General features: G+C 48.1%; 2 annotated features.

Moving 5' to 3' along the window:
• Window positions 4,807-5,476: an enhancer, noted in NCBI's record as "H3K27ac-H3K4me1 hESC enhancer chr13:113291197-113291866 (GRCh37/hg19 assembly coordinates)". NCBI's record gives its function as "activates a minimal SCP1, AML or CMV promoter by ChIP-STARR-seq in primed H9 embryonic stem cells {active_cell/tissue: H9 hESC(primed)}" and the evidence as "EXISTENCE:reporter gene assay evidence [ECO:0000049][PMID:30033119]".
• Window positions 16,656-17,156: an enhancer, noted in NCBI's record as "H3K4me1 hESC enhancer chr13:113279517-113280017 (GRCh37/hg19 assembly coordinates)". NCBI's record gives its function as "activates a minimal SCP1, AML or CMV promoter by ChIP-STARR-seq in primed H9 embryonic stem cells {active_cell/tissue: H9 hESC(primed)}" and the evidence as "EXISTENCE:reporter gene assay evidence [ECO:0000049][PMID:30033119]".

Genomic DNA, 20,884 nt, shown 5'->3' with positions numbered 1-20,884 from the left:
CTCAGAGGCAGGAAGTGCTTGCCCAAGGTCCAGGGGAAGGTTAGGGCCCCACCCCGCCTTCCCATTGCAGGGCACATGCACCGCTTAGGGCTGCCTTGACACCTCACGGAAACGCCGAGCAAGGCACGGGGATGCTGTTCACCTCCTGCGTATGTGGGCCCCAGGACAGCCCCTCTGGTCATCAGTGGGCCTCTAAGCACGGGGGTGCCTTTTCTTCCAGCGCCCGATGGGCTGGCCTGCTTTTACTCCCGTGTAGACGCCGTCCTCCTCCTTGCATTGTGTTGCCTGCTCCTCTTTGAACACGTGCGGTTTATCGAGCAGCACAGGAAACGTTTACCCTTGAGATTAAACATCTTCTGGCTTCACTTCTATTTTTAATGCCTCGGATTCATATAGCACTTCCCTTTGATGAGGTCAGCCCTTCACAGACATTGTCTAATGAATCCTCCTGGACTGGGGGCGTGATGGGCATCGTGAACCGAAGGCCATGGATGAAAAACAACAACCTCAAAGGAGTTGTGTGCAATTGCTGTGTAGACGAAGGGATCAGAGAGCGGTCATCGTGCCTGAAATAGAATCTTTATCTTCCAATTCCTCTTTCAGGGGCCTGGGAAACGGACACCTGCAGCGAGGACCAGGGTGTGGTGTGGAAGCAGGAATGACGGCATCTCAGCACTGGAAGCAGACTTGGAGACTGGCTGCTGCCTCCGCATCTGACCCACAGGGAAGGTGATAAAGCTGGGCTGTGCCCAGGGTCACGAGGCTTATTAGCACAAATCTCCAGCCAGGGCCTGGGCTGCGTAGCCTCAGAAACTCCACATTTCAACGGTCGATATTTCATTTTCTAGGAACTGATTTTATTTTATGTTATTTATTTTTTAACAGAGTCTTGCTCTGTTGCCCAGGTTGGAGTGCAGTGGTGCAATCTTGGCTCACTGCAACCACCACATCCCGGGTTTAAGCAATTCTCCTGCCTCAGCCTCCTGAGTAGCTGGGATTATAGGCATGCGCCACCATGCCCGGCTAATTTTTGTATTTTTAGTAGAGACGGGGTTTCATTCACCATGTTGCCCAGGCTGGTCTTGAATTCCTGACCTCCGGTGATCTGCTTGCCTCAGGTTCCCAAAGTGTTGGGATTATAGGCGTGAGCCATCATGCCCAGCCATGAAGTAATTTTAAATTACACACCTCATTCCCTGCTCAGGCCATACAAGCCATACAAGCCTTTCTTCACCCACAGCAATTCTGTCTTTCAAGGAAATTAACTTGTAAGATTTACCTCAAGCCTAGAGGCCTAGAAAAGTCTGTAAACTGGCATCCCTTTTAGGGGGACATTGGCACAGGCAGCTCAAGCTCTGGGGGCTCAGAACAAGCTGAGCCAAAGGACCCCGCCATGCGGGCCAGATCCCAAGAGCGCCACCTGGGGGCAGAGTGCACGGCCGTGCAGGTCCGGAACTGCCGACTGGGTGGGCGGCACCTGCGTTTCCCATCGCGCTGTGCCCAGGCCCGCGAACACCCAAGGGAGAAACCCGCAATTCCAGTTGTTCCCAGGGTCCCTCAGCCTCTTTGGGACTTCAGGGAGCCAGGCAAAGAGGTCAGCTGTTGAGTTTTTCTAGAAATTCCCTCAATGCTGTGGCTGGGTCTCCCTGAACATACAGCAAAGTTGACCACGCCCAGACTGGGGGACTTGAAGGATGTCTCTGGGCTGCGCAATGTAAGAAATTGCTATCACAGGTGTTTATGCAAAAAAAAAAAAAAAAAAAAAAAGAAAAAAAAAAGCGCTGCCACGTGGCATTGGTACTCAGTCCTCTAAACCAATATTCCCGATAAGATGTCTCATTTCATCTTTAGATTAAAAGAAAGGACAAGAGTTCCTGAGTAAGAAACTTCCTCAGGAAGGAGGTTTTCCGCCAAGCTTTTTGTCTGTTGTTTATGTATCCATCCGTCTATTCATCCATGCATTTATTTATTTAATCTATTTATCTGTCCATCCTTATCTAACTATTTTCAGGTAAACAAACTAAATTAATAATAATCCTTGCTTCACATAGTACAGTTTCATTCATTGGCCAATACGGTGAGCTACTAGTTTTATTTTGATAATGTGGATGGAGTGTCTACAACCCAAACAGAAGCCAGGATTTTGGCTGTAACCTGCCTTAAACCACACGGCTGCACCTGATCCCATGCTCCCGCACCATCCCCTAGCTCTTCACCCCCAGCTGACCATCATCCTAAATCCCATGTCCCTGCTTCTCCACTTTCACTTTTTAAAAAATAGTTTTGCACCCATAGGTATTCCTAAAAAGTGTGTTAATATAGACGTGCTTAACTTTACTAACGTGGTATTATGCTTTCTGTAGTGGTTTTAGACTACTTTTTGCCTTACTATTGCGTTGCTGAGTTTTACCATGTTGTGTCTCACTGCAGTGCATTCATTCTGACAGCTGTGTAATCATCCACCGTGTGAACATAGTGCCAGAAACTGTGAAAGACTGAGATTTCACCACTTGTGAGCTAACACATCAGCCTGCCCATTTCAGAGATTCTGTAGGAGGCATGAGATTCCGAGGTCAGAGACAAAAGCCTGTCACTCGTGGCACAGGCAGCACAGGCATCTGCATCTTTACGGCAGTTCCTCTTGTCTTCCAGTGCCATGGGGTACTGGAAGTGGATGGGCACAGGTGGGTGCCCCCACACAGAGCAGGTGCATTACAGAGAGAAACCCTGAGCTCAGAAGATATAAATCTTTTATCATAGGCAGGAAACATGCTTACCCTTTGCTCCAGAGAGAAACGATCTGTATCTTTCAAGGCTGTTTGCTATACAGTCATTCTGGAAAAGACAGCTTTGGACAAAGGCAGTTAGTGCCTTGCCTGCAAGACACACAGCAATGTGAGAGACCTGTGGGGAATTCTCTCCCAATGTACATTACAGAATCTTCATGCTTTCAACGTGGAGGTACTATGGCCAACAGAATAGAGGCATCTCTAAGATGGTAACTGTACTAAGCTTTATCAATCCACTTATATCTTAAAAGGAAATTAATTTATCAGATTTTTAGCCCCTGGAGAGGCAGATGAGTTACATTTCCAGATGGGGCACTGGGAGGGGAGGACTATGCGGGTCGAGTCACAGGACGTGGCGCGAGAGGCTGCTGAGGGTGGTGACGGCATACTACACTCACCTTCCCCTCCTGGGCAACTGGACGACTGTGGCCATGTGGCTGGTGGGACAGAAGCCACTGCCTACCTACATGGCCATAGCATGGAGCAGATGCTAGTTGATCTGACGACACTTTTATGCTCTGCTGATTCAGCAAAAAAGCAAGAACAGAGGCTGAAGGGAACAGGAAAGAGGGGCCCTAGGGCTGTTGGAGCAGGGCAGGGTCTGGCACGGACACTGAGCTAAGAGACTTGGCATTTTCGAAACTCTCCCTTCTCTATAAAAATCATCCCTCCCCTTAACAGTAAACTTGAAGGAAGAGGTAGATCCACCAGGAACACCTCCTAGGCAGGGGCTGGACGTGTATATCCCTGGGGAAGTGGCTCTCAGCCCGGACTGTACCCTGTAATTACGTGGGGCGCAATAACCAAGTCCCATGCCCAGTACAAAATATGCCAGGTACTAAATAGGGGGTCATTGAATTGGTGCTTAACTGCGTTGTTGATGCTTCTACTCCAAACTGCAAAACAAAGACCCAGAGCAGAGCTTTGCAGCCGGCCTCGCCGCGTCACGTGGGAACTTGTCGGAAACACCATGGCAGGGCCACACCCCAGGTGATGGAATCGGAAACCTGAGGGTGGAGTCCCAGCCAGTTTGCTTTGAAAGCTTCCCAGGTGGGAAGCGTAGCTCCAGGGGAAAGACATGAAGACTCAGACCCTCATTTGCTATCCGTGTAGAATGTCGGCGGCCAGATCGTGCTGGGCAGGGCAGGGCAAGGGCACAGGGAAGGTCAAGGCGCACACGCGATCGTCTGTTCGACCTCATCCTCGGCGCCCTCCAAGCCTGTCCTGTGCCAGAGTCAGCTTTGACCGTTTCTCTCTTCACCACTGCAATCAAATAAAATCTTCCTGGTTCCTGCAGAACCCACTTCATTTCCAGGGCGAGACGTTTTCTGCTGTGAGGTGGCAGCTGAAGCCCCCTGCAGCAGAGGTGGCCAGTGGGGCAGGCAGGGGTGCTGCAGGACCCACCACGCACCCTCAGGTGGCCATCAGCTCAGGGATTCTGCACTATCATCCCTTCTGTGGTCGCCAGAAATATGTTACAGGACGGGGTCCCAATCCAGACCCCAAGAGGGGGTTCTTGGGTCTTGCGCGAGAAGGAATTCAGGGCGAGTTCACAGGGCAAAGTAAAAGCAAGTTTATTAAGAAAGCAAAGTGGTGAAAGTGCAGCTGCTCCATAGACAGAGGAGAACGTTCCAGAAAGTAAGAGGAGGGACGCGTCCACCCTGGGAAAATGCTGCTTCATATGGGGAGATGTGCTCTGCTACAAGGGTTTGTGATAAAGGATTAGGTTTCTTAATTACTATATTTTACAAGAATAGATATTATTCGCTTTAAAGCAAAGTTAGGAATGCCTTTGTTCTCCAGTTATGGGGATATCTGGACACTCTCAAGTCTGGGTCTGTTTAGTAAACATTGTTAATTTGTTCCCTGAACTGTAAACATCTAGAGGCTCGGAATGCCTGACTTCCTAAGAATGCAGCCCAGCAAGGCCTAGCCTCATTTTCCAGCCCTCACTCAAGATGGAGTTGCTCTGGTTCGAACGCCTGTGACAGTGGCACTGCGTGAAGGAAACCCTGGCTTTGCAAAATCTCTGAGGAATTCTTCTCGGGGGCCTGGAGGCCGCCCTGGCGGCAGCTCCTTGGATCTGTCTGCCAGCGCCAAAGTGGGAAGGAGAATGGCCTGGGTCTCCCACTCCTCCTTCCCTCCTGCCTGGCCTGTTCCGTGGGCTCCTGCGCCCACTCCTCCTCCCCGCGGCCATGGGCTCCTCCTGCGAAATCTTGCATGGCCTCGGCTGCCAGGTGGCAGAGCCGCTGCGCTTGGGCGATGAAAGCAGACGGTGGCTCTGTTGCCCTCCTCCCACCCATCTCCCATGTTTCTGCCACCTTTTTAAGGGTGATGCTGCTCGCTGGAGTAAAAACCGTCGACTGACAGAAGCACGTTGGGCTGTGGGGTGAAATAATGACACCTCGAGCCCTGCCTGTCGTGGACCCAATGGAAGCCAGGGCCTCGCCCTAGAGCAGACATGGGCCTCAGGAGGGTGGGTGTGTCTGTGGGCGGAGTTCCCACCCGAGCCCTTGTCATGCACAGCCCCAGATTTGCCTTTGGCCTCCAGGTGCCACATGGGGACAAGCTGGGAACCAGGAAAGAAATGGGATAGTGCTCGGAAAACTGGTAGCTGGCAGTGGATAGCATGACCATGTGCCTGCCTGCGTGTTACTCATACAAACCCCAGGACCCAGACAACCCCATGAGGTGCAGACAGTGAGGGTTGTCGGTGCAAAGCACAGGCAGAGCAGATCCTGGCTCCTGGGCTGCATGGTCTTGGGTGACTCCTGACGTCTCCGTGCTCCTGGCTCCTCCTCTGTAACACGGGAGTCAGTCATCGTGCACGTTCGCAGGGTCATCAAAAGAATGGCCTGTGTTGGGGCAGTGTCCTGGCCATGGTGCGCACCCGAGGGCATTGGCTGTCATCCCCATCCTCCCTGGAGGGGATGGGACCTGCAGATGAAGCCCTTGCTAGTCCTGCAGCCGGGATCGGCGGGGTCAATCTGCTCTCTGAGTTCCTCAGCTGCACCCCTTGGAGGAGAGAGCCTGGATTCTACAGCAGAGACAGGGAAGAATTGTGGTGTCTGTGGCCCCTGAATTCCTTGGGGTCCCCAGACCTGCACTCCCCCCGGACTTGTGACTCGAGGTGACCCGTTCTCCCGACTGGCCGAGCTCCCCTCATGAGGTTCTCTGTCCCTTGCAGCTGAAAGCATTCTGACGGACACAGCTGGTTTTCCCTGCACTCTAGCACAATCTTAAAATAAAAAGGGAAACCCAGTTCTTCCAATTCTGGATTGGCAACCGAGCTCATTTGCATGAGTAATTGACAAACTTTGAGCACTGGCTTGACAGAAACTGCTAGCAAGCAGCGCTGCAGAATAGAAATGGAAGCCGGCTGGTGAATGAAGACAGAAAAAGAACCCACTGGAAGGGGCAAATCATTTAGATGCTCAATTAAGGAAAACACAATATTCGATCTTTGAAAGAGATGTTGATTTTTCCATCGGAAAAACGTCAGGGGCAGAATATAATTTGGAAGCAACCATAAGCAATAGTCAGTATCAGCTATAGATCAATTCCCACTTTGAAGATGCTATTTCTTGAGCAATTTTGCAATTAAAAATGTCACTCATGTTTTATTATAATTATCTGTAATGCCTCTAGGGCTTTCTTTTGTTCTTTTGAAGATTTTCAAATTCTGAAATAACTGGGATTAGCCCAGAGTTCAGATAGCCTGAAATAACTTAAGTACCACCTAAAAACTGGTTTTGAATGTTTTCCTCTGGCAGATCGCACACGGTTCTCTCTGACTGTTTCAGATAAGCCGAGGATTGGAGTCTGAACTCCACAAATCTCTGTCAGGGTGGGAGCACACGTGGCTGTAGGACGGGAGAACGTGAAGGAGTCTCCTGTTCTCAGAGCCTGTCTTTCTGTTTCTTTGACATCCAGGATACCTGGGCTATCAAGAATGGCATTGCTGACTCCTGCCTCCTCTAAGCCTGGGGTGGGGGTCTTGGGGTCCCAGAAGTCCTCTTTCTTTTCCTCCCTTCCTCTGACACCTGTGGGCAGAAAGTGGGAGCAAGGGACAGGCTGCCCTGCATGAGACGAGATCCATGCCTTGTGATTGCAGACTGTCTGCCCTGCGGGTCCTGTAATGGATTCAAGAAAGAGTTAGGGGAGGGGTCACAGGTGAGGGCTGTTGATGCTTGGTGCTCTGCTGGGTTGGAGAGAGTTGCGGTGGGTTGGGGGGGGTGCCTGCCCCACCCTAGAAGCCCCTGACTCTGGCTCTCTTCTTCTCACCAGAGGAATAGCTCCAATGCCATAAACACATTCTGTATTATCATTAAAGCAAACACCGCACTGATGCCATCAAAGACAGGAAGGCTGAGGATTAAAAAACAAGAAAATTAAAAGCCATCTATGATCCTAGAATAGATCCTGTGCTGGGGGAAAGAGGACACTGAAGGACATTATCAGTCTGTGGTGAACCTGGAACACAGGCAGTAGATTAGATAAAAATATTTTATCAATGTTAAATTTACTGAAATTGATAGCTGTCCTGTGGTTATGTTAGAGAATGTCTTTGGTTTTAGGAAAGACACTGAAATATTTAGAAGGTAAATGTTCAGAGGCTAAATAAAGCATTCAGAGGCCACAACATACACAATTTATTCTCAAATAACTTAGGGGAAAATATATATTTATATAGGATATTTTATTCCTTTTTATGTATATATTTACACATTTTATATACTATATATCAGATGAGAGAGCAAAACAAATGCTAAAGCAAATAGGGCAAAATGTTAACAGTAAATGAGTCGAGGAAAGGATTGGATATTCTTTGTACTTTTTTTGCAAATTTTCTATAAGGCTGCAAGTTTCTGACCAAGAAGTTTCAAGGCTCTGGGCTGAATTGTGATCTATCAAGGAGCAACATCTGTCTAAGAGTCACACAGCTGCACTTTCTCCCTCATCTTTTCCTCCTAGTTCCATTTCTAGTGACCAAGGCACGGGTTTTCACCTTTCTGCCTCATTTGCGAAATTAATTTGAGATGTAATATTGTGAAATAACAAGAAATATATATTTGGTCTTTGTCCCCAGTTCCTGGCACAGAGCCCCTAATTCCTTGGAATTTCTGGGGTGATAGGAGCACCTTTTGTTCTAATGAGGTGATTCTTGGTGGCTTGTGGGAGAGGGGCTGGTCACCGGAAAAGACCGAGCCGTCATGAGAAGCCTGGAACTCTCAGCTCCAACCTCCCGGGGGAGCTGGAGATGGAGCTCATAACTGATGACGCCCACGTGACGAGACCTTGGTGAAATCCCCAACTAGGAGGTTCGGAGAGCTTCCGATTTGGTGAGCAACCCCACATGCTTGCAGGTGGGGTTGTTGCGGGTGCACCCCAGCTCCTGCACTGGCAACTTTCTTCATCTGAGAATTCATCCATAGTCTTTATAATACGTCAGTGAACATAAGTGTTTCCCTGAGTGCTGTAAGCTGTCAGCAAACTATGAAACCTGAAGAGGGGTTCGTGGGAAACCCTAATATGCATTTACATTGGACAGAAGTGGTCACTTGGGGACCCACTGCTTGAAACTGGTGTCTGAAGTGGAGGCAGTCTTGCAGGACTGAGCCCTCAACCCACGGGGTCCCACTAGCTCCAAGTAATACCATGACTGAGTTTTAGGACGTTGCATTGGTGTCTGGAGCACTGGAGGTTGGTTGATGTGGGTGAAAAACACCCCGTTTGGTTTCAATAGCATTGTGTAAGAGTAGGGAAAAACAGAATTTTTTTTCCTCAGACATTATGAAATGTGTCTTTGTTTCTCTTAATTCTCTGCCTTGAAGTCTACTGAGACTGGGACAGCTGATAGTCCAGCGTTCTCAAGCTAATTATTTGTATGGTGTATCCTTCGTCATCACTGGTTCTTAGCCCACTCTTTATATCTGAAGGGGAGCTCCTGAGGACAGCATACAGTGGGCTTTGCATTCTGAAGTCCACTCTGATAATGTTTGCCTTTTAATTAAAGTGTTTAATAATTAATATTTAAGGCCGGGTGCGGTGGTTCACGCCTGTAATCCCTGTACTTTGGGAGGCCGAGGCAGGCAGATTACCTGAGGTCAGGAGTTCAAGACCAGCCTGGCCAACATGGTGCAAATTCCATCTCTACTAAAAGTACAAAATTAGCCGGGTGTGATGGTGGGCACCTGTAGTCCCAGCTACTCGAGAGGCTGAGGCAGGAGAATCACTTGAACCCAGGAGGCAGATTGCAGTGACCTGAGATGGCGCCAATGCACTCCAGCCTGGGTGACAAAGCTAAATTCTGTCAAAAAAAAAAAAAAAAGATATTATTCCACTCTCCTCTGGCCTTGTTGTTTCTGATGAGGAGTTAGCTGTTCTTTGAATAATTGTTCCTCACTATATCACGTACAGAGCGAAGACGAGGTGAGGACTCAGGGAGAAGACAGCTGTCTACAAACCAAGGGGAGAGGCCTCAGAAGAAACCAGTCCTGCTGGCACCTTGACCTTGGACTTCCAGGCTCTAGAACTGTGAGAAAGTAAATATCTATTGTTTAAGCCACACAGCCCGTGGTACTTTGTTATGGAAGCCCCAGCAAACTAACATACCGGGAAGCTGTTTCCTTTTTTTAAGTGTCAATTTACCTCTAGAATTTGTCTTCTTTTGAGTCATTCTTCAGGTAGTTGAATTTTTATTTCTTTTTTCTTGAGACAGGGTCTCGCTCTATCACCCAGGTTGGAGTGCACTGGTACAGTCTCAGTTCGCTGCAACTTCCGTTTCCCAGGCTCAAGCGATCCTCCCACCTCACCCTCCCAAGTAGCTGGAACCACAGGCTCGTGCCACCATGCCTGGCTAATTTTTAATTTTTGGTGGAGACGGGGGTCTTGTCGTGTTGGCCAGGCTGGTCTTGAACTCCTGAGCTCAAACAATCCCCCAGTCTCAGCCTCCCAAAGTGCTGAAATTGCAGGTGTGAGCCACTGTGCCTGACCAGGTAGTTGATTTTTTTTTAAACTTTGTCTTGAGTTTATAGTACTTTCTGCAGTAGGATTGGTTTGATAGGAGCTTACTTGGTCATCACTAGAGACAGATCTTCATAGTTTGTTTGTTTATTTATTTATTGTTTTTTTTTGTGACAGAGTCTCACTCTGTCACCCAGGCTGGAGTGCAGTGGCGTGATAACAGCTCACTGCAACCTCTGCCTCCCAGGTTCAAGCAATTCTCGTGCCTCAGCCTCCCGAGTAGCTGGAATTACAGGTGTGCACCACCACGCCTGGCTAATTTTTGAATTTTTATTAAAGACAGGGTTTTACCATGTTGGCCAGGCTGGTCTTGAACTCCTGACCTCAAGTGGTCCGCCCACCTCGGCCTCCCAAAGTGCTGGGATTACAGGCGTGAGCCACCATACCCAGCCCACAGTTTATTTTTGAATATTGACCTGTAGTCACCTTCATCTGTATTTAATTTTTTTACGTATAAAATAATTTTTTCCATGAGTAAACACAGTTTTATATCTTCATTTCCAATCCTTAATGTATTATTATTATTATTATTATTATTATTATTATTTGCTTTCGTTCTCTGTCTAGAACTCCTCCAGTTAAAAGGCGAGGGCATGAGTGGTAACAGTAAACCTGCTTTCTGTTCCTGATCTCAGGGTAACACTGTTTACTGTTGTGTGATTAAGTAGAAAGCTTGTTATAGTTGTTCTGTAAATTATATTTTTCAGATTTAAAGTGTTGCCATATGAATTGCTGAGAACTTTGATCATGACTGGATGTTGAATTTTATGTTTTGTGCATCTTTGGAGATTGTCACACATTTTACTCCTGTGTTCTACTACTGTCCTGAGTTATATTGATGGATTTTCTAACATTGACTAATTTTGCATTCCTGGGATTAATTCTATTTGGTCATAATGTATCCTCATTTTAATTAGATATACTACACATAGTTTGCTATTCTTTTTTTTTGAGTTGGAGTCTCCGTCACTCAGGCTGGAGCATGATCTCGGCTCACTGCAACCTCCGCCTCCCAGATTCAAGCGATTCTCCTCAGCCTCCTGAGTAGCTGGAATTACAGGCATGCACCACCGTGCCCGGCTAATTTTTGTATTTTTAGTAGAGATGGGGTTTCACCATGTTGGTCAGGTTGGTCTCGAACTCCTGACCTTGTGATCCGCCCACCTCGGCCTCCCAAAGTGCTGGGATTACAGGTATGAGTCACCGCGCCCAGCCTGTTTGCTATTCTTAATGTGATTTTTGCATCTATGTTTATAAAGGATGTTGGTCTGTAAGTTTTACTTCTGGCAATGTGTTTAGAAGTTTGGTACGAAGGCTATCCTGGTTCCAAAAACGAGTTGGTGCACTTTCCTCGTCTTTCTTCTGTCTCCATCAGCACATGTGAGACCACTGTGTTTCCTTAAAGTTGTGGAAGAATTCACTGGAGAGGCATATAGGTTTGGATTTTGTTTTGTGAAAAGTTCTAAAATTATGGATGCCAATTTCCTTAATAGAAAAAGCCTATTCAGGTTTTCTATATCTTCTTGCCTCTGTTGGGGTAAATTGTGTTTTTCAAGGAATTTATCCATTTCATCTAAGATGTCGAAGTACTTACATAAAACAGTTCAAAATATCCTTTTGTTGTTGTTGTACGTGTAAGAGCTGCGGTGATGTTTCATTTTTCATTTCTGATATTGGTAATCTGTGTAGTTTTTTAAATTTATGTTTATCAATCTTGCCAATTGTCTGGGTTTTTCGAAATTCTTCAAAGAAATAAGTTTTTACCTAGTTGGTTCTCTTTATTTTTTCCCACATCAATAGTTTCTACTCTTATCATCACTTTTTTCATATTTTCTTATGTTTTATCTCCTTTCTCCTCTTAACTTTTTTTGAGATGGAGCCTTGCTCTGTCACCCAGGCTGGAGTGCAATGGCGCAATCTCAGCTCACGGCAACCTCCGCCTCCCAGGTTCAAGGGATTCTCCTGCATCAGCCTCCCGAGTAGCTGGGATTACAGGTGCCTGCTACCATGCCCGGCTAATTTTTGTATTTTTAGTAGAGACGTGGTTTCACCATCTTGGCCAGGCTGGTCTTGAACTACTGATCTCTTGTGATCAGCCCGCCTTGGCCTCCCAAAGTACTGGAATGACAGGCGTGAGCCCCGGCGCCCGGCCCTAACTTCTGAAGGTAGATACTTAGATACCTCTTAGGCTTTCTACCTTCTTTAAAGTATGCATTTACATTTATGTAGTTTTTTAAAGTCTGGCTTTAATTGCATGCCACAAGTTTCAACAAGCCTTATTTTTATTTTCATTTAGTTGAAACATTTTAAATTTCCAATATTTTTTTCTTAGCCATGAACAATTAAAATATTACTTAATTTCAGAATATTTGGGGATTTTTATTTCATTTAAACCATGCAGTCTCAATTGGGCAGGGTTTAGTGGCGACATCATCACCGAAGTGGTAAAAATTCGTTATTCAGGGACCAAAAAATCCTTCAGTATTACAACATTTTGCTCTCTGAAGCTCAACTTTGACAAAATCTTATCCATTAGTATTTCATTTCTTTCATTAGAAATTTAATTTAATCTAAACTAATTAAATTAAGTGTAATTTTTATCCTTAGAGAGAATAATAATGAAAAAAGGATGGAGAAACACTGACGTAAACCTACTGAGATTAAAGGGTATATACTTCAGCCAGACGCAGTGGCTCACGCCTGTAATCCCAGCACTTTGGGAGGCCAAGGCGAGCAAGTCACCTGAGGTCAGGAGTTCAAGACCAGGCTGGCCAACATGGTGAAACCCGTCTCTACTAAAAATACAAAAATCAGCCAGGCACGGTGGCAGGCGCCTATAATCCCAGCTACTCGGGAGGCTGAGGCAGGAGAATTCCTTGAACTGGGAAGCAGAGGTTGAAGTGAGCCGAGATAAGCCACCGCACTCCAGCCTGGGTGACAGAGCATGACTCCGTCTCGGAAAAAAAAAAAAAAAAGAGTATCTACTTTGTGTCATTGCAGTGCTTTCAACCATGGCTTGCTTTAGAGCTGTTCAAAGGACCTTTAAAAGAATGTGTATTTCATAGTTATTGGGTACAATGTTCTATACTTGCTTACTTATGTTCCTGAGATTGTTTAAATCTGCCACACAATTAGTCTTTTTGGGGGAGGGGAGGAGGGAAGGGGTCAACGTGTTCCATCGGCCACCGGAAGAGGAATATTCCGTTTCCTCCTTATGCTCCTCGGCCACCGGAAGAGGAATATCCGTTTACTCATTATGGTGGTCAGTTGGTCCAATTCTCTTTTCGTGTCTTTCAATTGTGCTTTATAACTTTTGAGACTTTCTTATTGGCCACATGCAAATTTAGAAGAGCTGCAGCTCCCCTGTTAATTGGCACTTTTCTCATCACGCTCCACTTTTATTTCTAGTAAATCTTCTTGCTTTAAGGGCTACTTGTCTGATATTGGAGTAACTACACCAGCATTCCTGTAGAGATGGTGTTTGCATCATGCGTTTTTTCTCATCCTTTTATTTTTAGTACATAATTTTTATGGTATATTTCGTCTTCTAGGAAACACTTAGTTGTTATGGTTTGGGTTTTTTTTGTTGTCGTTGTTCCAACTGTTAATCTTTATTTTTTAAATCAGTATAGTTAGCTATTTTACATTCTGTGTAATTATAGAAGCTGTTGGGTTTAAATCTATCAGTTTACTATTTGCTTACTATTTTTCACATTTCCTCTGCCATCCCCTTTTCTCTTTTATTGATTACCTTTTTATTAATAACTTTTTTTTTTTTGAGATGGAGTCTTGCTCTGTCGCCCAGGATGGAGTGCAGTGTTGTGATCTCAGCTCACTGCAACCTCTGCCTCCCAGGTTCAAGCGATTCTCCCACCTCAGCCTCCCGAGTAGCTGGGATTACAGGCATGTACACCACCACACCTGGCTAATTTTTGTCGTTTTTAGTAGAGACGGGGTTTCACCATGTTGGCCAGGCTGGTCTCGAACTCCTGACCACAGGTGACCGCCTGCCTCAGCCTCCCAAAGTGCTGGGACTACAGGCGTGAGCCACGGTGCCAAGCTCTTAAGAAATTTTTATCACACATTTCTTCCCAGTAGTTTATTAGTTAGACATTCTTTTGCTATTTTTAGTGGTCAGCCTACAGTTTACGGCATGTATCCTTGACTTATTAAACTCTAATAGAAGTGAGAGAGCACCTTTACCCCTTCTGAGACAATGCAAGGGCCCTAGAGCTCTTTTCCCCATAGAACACCCCACGCGGACCTACATGATATCAGATTCATGAATTTTAATTTTCTGTATGTTTAAAAATAAATAATGAATTGTTAATTTTATACAATTATTTTTATTTAGATTCTGCTAGGTGACAGTCACAGCAGCACCAGGGACCTTGAGGGAACCCACCCAGCTTACAGGCATGAGGCTTCTCAGAGGGAGGCAGCCCTGAGCAAGGCTGGGGCAGCGCTGGTGAATACGGGTCACTGGAAGTTGTCGATTTATTCCTTTATCACTGGGATTCTATCTGGGATCATTTTCCCTCTGCAGCAAATACTCCCTTTACTGTTTCTTTCATGTGCATCTGACAGTGGCCAATTCAATCAGTTTTTGCTTAGTTGAAAAAAGCAATGAAGCAAAATTCCACTGAGCATGGTGGCTCACACCTGTCATCCCAGCACTTTGGGAGGCCAAGGCAGGAAGCTGCTTGAGGCCAGGAGCTTTCAACCAGCCTGGGCAACACAGCAAGACCCCATCTCTAAAAAAAAAATTTTTTTTTTAATTAGCTGGGCATGGTAGTGTGTGACTGTGGTCCCAGCTTCTCAAGAGGCTGAGGTGGGAGGATTGCTTGAGTCCAGGAGGTCTAGGCTGCAATGAGCTGTGATCGTGCCACTGCACTCCAGCCTGGGTGACAGAACAAGACCCTGTCTCTCTCTCTCTCTCTCTCTCTCTCTCACACACACACACACACACACACACACACACACACACAACTTCCAGGGACCCGGATTCACCAGCAATGCCCCAGCCTCGCTCAGGGCTGCCTCCCTCTGAGGAGCCTCATGCCTCTAAGCTGGGTGGGTTCTCTCAAGGCCCCTTTTGCTGCTGTGACTGCCCATCACCTAGCAGAGCAGCCTCCCTCCTACACAGAGCGGAGGTGGCTCTAGTGCAGACAGCCGCCTCTTCCCAGGTGATCAACACGTGCACAGCCCGCTGTTCCCTCAGTGAGACGCCACATCAGGGTCGGGCGCTGTGGGCAGAACCGGGAGCAGAATGGGTGACAGGGAGCCCCTGTGTGGGCCTGCACCCACCTCCTCCCAACCCCTGCTGTGCCATCACCGGCCCAGAAGGCACCAGTGCTGAGAGGGGCCTGCTGACACCCACAGCTCATTCTGTCTTCCTGGTCAGCTTGGTACGATTGGGCTGCTATAAGCAAATGTCATTGATGGTGTAATTTATAGACAAGAATGTGTTGCTTGGATCTGAAGGCTGGCGAGTTCAAGACCAAGGTGCCGGCAGATTCACAGACCGTGTCTCCTGCAGAGCCCTCGAGTGGCAGGTGGGCACCCCAAGCCCCTGACACATCTTTTCTAAAGACGCTAATCCGGCCGGGCACAGTGGCTCACACCTGTAATCCCAGCACTTTGGAGGCCAAGGTGAGCAGATCACCTGAGGTCAAGACGTCGAGACCAGCCTGGCCAACATGTTGAAACCCCATCTCTACTAAAAATACAAAACAATTAGCTGGGCATCATGGCAAGTGCCTGTAATCCCAGCTACTCAGGAGACTGAGGCAGGTGAATCACTTGAACCCAGGAGGCAGAGGTTGCAGTGAGCCGAGATGGCACCATTGCACTCCTGCCTGAGCGACAGAGTGAGACTCTGTCTCAAAAAAAAAAAAAAAAAAGATGCTAATCCTATGCATGAGGGTGGAGCCTCCCAGAGACCCCACCTCTTGGTACCACCCCCTGAGGGGTCAGGATTTCCACATATACATTTGAGGGAGGCACACACATCATATTGTAACCCGGGGCTAAGTTCCTTCTCTGGAGTGGACACTCTGGAGAGTGTTCATGTGAGACACACACTCAGGTTCCGTGTTCACTCCTGCAGGCCAGTGTCTGTGTGACTAGCAGGAGGAGGGAGCCGCTCTGCCCACTCTGGGGGTTCAGGGGTGTCAGGCATTCGAGAGCGTCAGGCCATGGACAGCAGGTGTTTCCTCCCAGGTCGCAGGGGGCTGCTCATCACAGGGCCCTGACTTGGCACAGGAGATATGTCAAGGCTGTAAGTTCTGTTTTCTTGTAGCTCTGCTACTCTTCAATCAGCCCTTGGGCCTGACCTTCTGCAGCCTCCCCAGCAGCCGCAGGAGGCGGAGGCCTCTATCAACACTGCCTTTGGAACCTTCTGGCTTTCACAGGGAGCCTTGAGCTGAGGGTGGCTTGCCAAGCCCATCGTTTTCTTTCTTAGGGGCTTCTAAAGTCAGCCAACTCCACAGTCTTTATAGAGCAATTTCCTCCATTTCGTTCAATACCACAGTGACCGAGGAAGCTAATGCATTTCTTTCCACCTGCACCTCACCCTGAGCACCTCTGGGAGGGTCACGGTATGAGCCTCAGCTGCATGTTCCTGTGTGTCACCACCTGCTATGGACTGAGTGTGTGTGTCCCTCCACATCTCCCGTGCTGAAGCCCTAACACCCAGTGTGAGGGCATTTAGAGGTGAGCCTTTGGGCATTATGTAGGTTTAGGTGCGGTCACAATGGTGAGGCTCCTTCTAAGCAGAGGAAGATAGAGCACCGCCTTCTCTCTCTGCCTGCCACGTGAGGCTACAGAAAGAAGGTGGCTGCCTGCAAACCAGGAAGAGAGCCCTCATCACAAAGTAAATCTGCCAGCACCTTGATCTTAGACTTACCTGTCTCCAGGATGGTGAGAGAGAAATTGAGCCACCCAGGTTGTGTTTGTATTATACTAACCTGGGCTGACTAAAACACCACTTCCCGTACCATCAGCAGTGAGTTCTCAAACCCATCCTGAGGATGCATTTTTCAGGCCACCTCTGGGCTCCCCCAGACAGCAGAGCTGGAGACAAGGGCCTGTGTGAAGGTGGTTGATTTGGGAAGGGAGGCCGGGGGCAGGAGAGGGAGACTGGGAAGTGTGGAGCCGGCAGGGAGGAAGGACAAATTAAGCGTGTGCTGCCAGGCTGGCCACCACTGTTGGTGACGGGCCTCAGGGGAGCCCTGTCCACCATGCAGTGGGGTGGGAGGTGTCCCGTTACTCCTGGGCCCCTATTCCCTGGTGTCCAAGCATTGCCACAGGGAGTGTTGATGCCCTCATGTATCCAGCCCGGGGATCCTCCCCGCTGCATCAGGAATGCCCCGGAGAAAAGCGAGGGCCGCAGAGAGCAGCTGTGTGACACTGACCACCAGGGCAAGGATGAGAACACGAGGTGGGACTCGGGGGTTGGGGCAGGGCCACAGAGGAGGCCAGTGCACCTGCAGTGACCTTCTACCAGCTCCACCTGGCTGGTTTCTGTTCCCCTTTCAGCTCTCACACGGCCAACTGCCCAGTGCCGCAGGGAGGCCTCATTATTCTTCTTGGGATTACTTCCCTCATGTTTTTATTCCCCACAATTTGTAGCTACAATGTTGTTTATTTGTTGACTGTGTTTCTGATTCCTTGAACTACATGTCCAGCTAGCCAGAGACATGTATTGATTGTATGTTCAGCATTACGCAAGTCACCCAGCATAGCATCGGACAGAGTAGGTTCAACATGCGGGCTAAACAAAGGAACAGCACCTCGGTGCATTGCTCCCCAAGCCCACTATGGCCACAGCGTGTTCATCCTGCCTGGTGTTCCTCCCTTCTCTCACCCTACTGGAATAACCCTGAACACTCCTCTTTCCCTATGAAGTTTCCCAGGTCTGCAAAGTCCTGCTGCTCTTCCCTCTTCTGAATCCTGAAGATACTCAGGGGTTCCCATTGATGGCGTTTCTGTCCACACCAGGGGCTGTGACTTGGGGGCTCACTGCTTTGCTCCAAACACAGTAGGCATTCAGTCTTTACAACCCAAATGCCACTCGCCCTCCCCAGCCTGGGGCTCTAAGTGGAATGACTCCCTCTGCGTAAATTGGGAGGTGCAAGTAGATCCCAGGCAGTGGCACCCACCCAGTGTGTCTGTCTGAGCTGCAAAGCTGGGTGCACAGTCGTGCAAGACAGTGAGACAACACTCTCAGCCGACACTTTCTTGCTGGCTGGCAATGAACGGAGGACTGCTAAGCCTTTCTAAGGACTTCGCAGCAGCGCTGGCCGCAGGACTGAGCCGGTGCTCCGTGCTGACCCCTGAGTGGTGCCTCCATTCCAGGAACAAGTGCTGCTGCCGGAGGCACTGGCACATGTCCTGCACCTTCCCCGCAGGCCAAGCCCCTCGGGTCGTCCAGCTGGGGCCATGCATAGGCGCCCAGCGTGCAGTGCCAGCCCTGGAAACACAGGAGGAAATGGAGCGTCCACACAGGTTGCTGCTCTTACCCTCCACACTTCACTGACCTCACCCGTGTTTCTACGAGGGCCCCCTTTCTGTCCTACAATCCCCTCCAAGGTGCCTACTGCATGTGGATGTCCTGTCTCTGTAGCGTCTTCCAGTCTGTGGCGAGTCCTCGGCCTTTCCTTGTCTGTCATGACCTGGACCGTTCTGTGTTTTGAAGAAAGTCCCTCGATTTGGGTTTGTCTGATGTGCTACCCATGGTTCGACTGGGGTTCTGGGAAGAAGTGCCCTTCCCATCACATCCTTCCAAGGGGTGCCTGGTACCCACATGAACTCCTGGCAACAGACTATCCTCAGAATAGTCCGGCCCACCTCTGACAGAGCCATGGTTCTGCCATCCCAAGGGATCCCTGCCTGGACATTTCTGTGACCAGTTGGTTGAACACTTTCATAAATGGCTGAAGAACCCAAGTGACGTCCTCCTGAGCTATTCCTGGAGGAGGCGGGTGATGAAGAACGGCTTCCCATGTGTGCTCACTGTGCTGGTGGAGCGAGCCTGTGCTCACAGCCAGACGGGCCGGGGTTCAAATCTCAGCCCAGATCTCTGTGCTGGTGGAGGGAGCCTGTGCTCACAGCCAGACGGGCTGGGGTTCAAATCTTAGCCCAGATACCTATGAGATGGGGGCAGATCCTTATCAAAGTGAGGTTTAATTTCTTTATCCACGAGTGGAAATATGACATACGCCTCACAGATGATGGCACAGATGATGGCAGGATTCAAAACCACACGTGCAAAGCGTCCAGCAGTCCGCAGGGCCCAGCAGGGATGCAGTAAGTGCTGGCGGCTGGCGGCGGCTGATTGTTGTAAATAAGTGGAGGAATAATACGGAGAGAAGCTGCAGGCAGGATGCTCACCTCAGCCCTTTGCCCAGGAGAAGGTTAGTGTGTTATTTAGATATTTTTGTCTCTGAAGAACTTTTCATATTGTATGTCTTATTTTCCCCAAAAGACTGTACAGTCTGAATGATAATAACAGCCAACAGGTATGGGTGCCTCCTCCGTGTCGGGTGTTAAACACTTTGCATGTATTTTTCCATTAGATTTAATTCTCACAACAACCTCACCAGGTAAGAGCAATGATTAGCTGAGTTTTGCAGATCAGGTGAGGGGGAATGAATCACCCATCTGTGTGTATTTTCTCCTCTCTACCTTCTCTTCCTCGAACGTTCCTGATACTCATCATTAACATCCTCCGTAGGCATCCACTTTTCTGGGAAGGATTCTTTGAACAAAGCAAACCAGGAGCACCTCCTCCTGGCCCAGCTTGTGGCTCCTTGGCTCACCCAGTATACCAGTTGTCCTGTTGTTCAGGACCTGTCACAAGTGTGCCTGACGTATGAATTCCCTGGGGACAGGGACTGTGGTGGAGTTCTCGCCCAGCTCCCACCCCAGCAGAGGGCCTGGGGACAGGGACTATGGTGGAGTGCTCACCCCGGCTCCCACCCCAGCAGAGGGTCTGGCATATAGAGTCCCTAAATAAACCTTTTGAATGAATGTGTGGAGGACCTGGGGTCTGGCAGCAGACACAGAAAGGAAAGGGTGGGCCAGGACCTCGGCAGGGAGAACGGAGGGACCTGGCGACAGGAACTGGGTGAGGGGAATAAAGGCGTGTGATGGGAAGGACACAGGGACAGCTAGGGGAGGCAGGTGGCAGTGATGGGAGGCCTCCCTCCAGACAGGATGAGTCTGCGGTTAAGAGAAGCCTCCAGGTGGAGCGTCCCAGCACAGGCAGATGAAATCCAAACCCAGGATACAGCTGTGGTCAACAAAAACATCAGCAAATATTGCTGTGCTCTATTAGGAAGGACGCTGGAAACAGCAGAACACGTCTTCCCGCCTATCTCCGCACCTGGAAATCTATATATTCTTTTCATTGCCGAACTTGAGAAATAAATACTAAAGTAAGGAAAAGTCCAGAAAGCAATTACTATTCTCATGTATACAGAGAGATTTTTCATCAAAAGACTAATAAAAGAAAATATTTGAGTTTTAAGTTTGAAAATAAAAGATATATCTTAGGAAAATGTAATGATTAGTGGATTAATAATACTCGTTTACCTAATTTCAGAAAAGGAAGGCTAGAGAGCTGCCTGAAGTCTGTAGCTAAGTTTAATGTGAATAAATTCAGTAAAAATATACATACACGCACATACACAGATAACTCACATTATGCTAGGAGTCTACAGGGTGTGGTCACACACATCATAAACCAAGTGCTCACAAATTCCCCGTGATGTTGGTGTTATCTCAGTATTATATGTGAGTAGAGTAAGCTCTAGAAATTAAGCTGCAGTCATCACTCAATTTGTAGCCGGCAGAACCTTTGAGACGAAGTATCAACACATTCAGCACAATAAAAAATTTGAAGTTTGTTAGTCCCCCCGATAGATTAGAACCAACGAACATTAACATATGTGTAAGCTATCTTTATTACTTTGTGTTGAACTTGAGAAATAAATGGATCCCATTTGAAAAAAATATTTCTATGGCTTTATATTTTCAACAAAGTATTTTAAAATTATGCTATGACT

Source organism: Homo sapiens, chromosome 13, assembly GCF_000001405.40.
Source record: "Homo sapiens chromosome 13, GRCh38.p14 Primary Assembly".
NCBI lineage: Eukaryota > Metazoa > Chordata > Mammalia > Primates > Hominidae > Homo > Homo sapiens.
The sequence above is the reverse complement of the archived record's forward strand: the minus strand, read 5'-3'. Positions and strand labels throughout refer to the sequence as shown.